This window comes from Homo sapiens, chromosome 9, assembly GCF_000001405.40.
Source record: "Homo sapiens chromosome 9, GRCh38.p14 Primary Assembly".
In the NCBI taxonomy this organism is placed as follows: Eukaryota; Metazoa; Chordata; class Mammalia; order Primates; family Hominidae; genus Homo; species Homo sapiens.
Window position 1 is genome coordinate 126,285,996 of NC_000009.12, and position 1,723 is coordinate 126,287,718.

The window sequence follows — 1,723 nt, forward strand, 5'->3', positions numbered from 1 at the left end:
CATAGGGGGGAAATTAAACAAAATGGGGCTTTTCAGACGATGGAGGATGGAAAGAGGGAGAGGATCAGGAAAAATAACTAATGGGTACTAGGCTTAATAACTGGGTGATGAAATAGTCTGTACACCAAACCCCCATGACACAAGTTTACCTGTGTAATAAACCTGCACTTGTACCCCTGAACTTAAAATAAAAGGTTTACAGAAAAGTTTTCTATTATTATTCAAATAATAAGAAATATATAAAAATAAAGTCTCTAGTTCACCTCAATTTTATTGAATTATGAAATTTTATTGAAAAACTTTAAAATGTAATATGAAAAACTGGAAAATAGATACCATATTTTTGGAGGGAAAGGCTTAATATAAAATGTCAATTCTCCCAACAGTAATGTATAAATGTAATGAATTATATTATAGTACCATTATAACTCATTATAATGAGTTACATTATAATACCATCTGATTATAGAACCATTTTTAATTGGATGAAATGATAATAAAGTTCATGTAAAAGAATAATGTCTAAGAATGGCCAAAAAAAATTTAAAGGGAAATATCTTGCCTTGCCTTATAGATATTAAAATATACTATAAAGCCACTAGAATCCAACAACATGGTATTGGCATAGAATTAGTGGATTCACAGAAAGCTTTGGAACAGAATAAAGAACCCAGAAATATGTCCTAGTATGAAAATTTAATACATAATAAATACTTTACCTCATTAAGAAAAAAATTAATAAATAATGCTAGCAAAAAGCAGCTGTTTGATTGTAAGAAAATGAAGTTGGATCCTTCAAACCAACACAAATTTAAACTCCAATGGGTTAATAAGACTTAAATATAAAAACAAAACATAAAACCTTAGAAAAAAATTTAGGTGAATACATGTATAATGCAGTGTGTAGGGGGCACTTTTACCTGTGACAAGAAACCTAGAATCTATAAAGAAATAATCGTTTTTGACTACATAAAATTTAATCTCATCCAGTTAATTTTTATTTCAGATATTGTATTTTTTGGTTCTAGAATTCCCATTTGCTCATTTGTATAGTCTATTTCCAACTGAAGTTTTCTGTTTAATCATTCATTGCTAGTATATTTTTCTTCATGTCCTTGAGCATAGTTATAACAGCTACTTTTAAATTCTTGTCTCTTAATTCTAACATCTAGGTCACATTAAGGTTATTCTCCATTGATTGCCTTTTCTATTAATATGGCTCACATTTTGCCGTTTCTTCATATATCTAGTAGTTTTGGATTGTATCCTGGACACTGTCAATGATAAGTTGTAGAGACTCTGGATTTTATTATGTTCTTCTGAGTGTCGGCTTTTTATTTTAGCAGGCAGTTAACTTGGCTGAACTCAAACTTCAAAGTCTCCCCTCTGGTAGACAGCAGCTGAAATCTCTGTTCAGCTATTTTAGCCACAGTTAGGATTCCAGGAGCCTCCCAGATGAATTCACAGTTCAGAAAACAGCCTGAAGTTTGGGTGGAGAATTCGGAACATATCCTCCATGGAGTTCTCCTTCCCGGAATTTCCTCCTTTACTTTTCAATTTCTGTGGAAGTCCCAGATTCTGCCCTGTGATTCCTTAACAAGTAAGAATGCAGATTTCTATCCAACTTTTAACTGACTTATGTGGTGCTATGTGGGCCCCGCAGGGCAGTGACCCAGGGAGGCCTGAATTTGATGGCAGCCAAGCCTCCGGCCTCAGAGGGGAG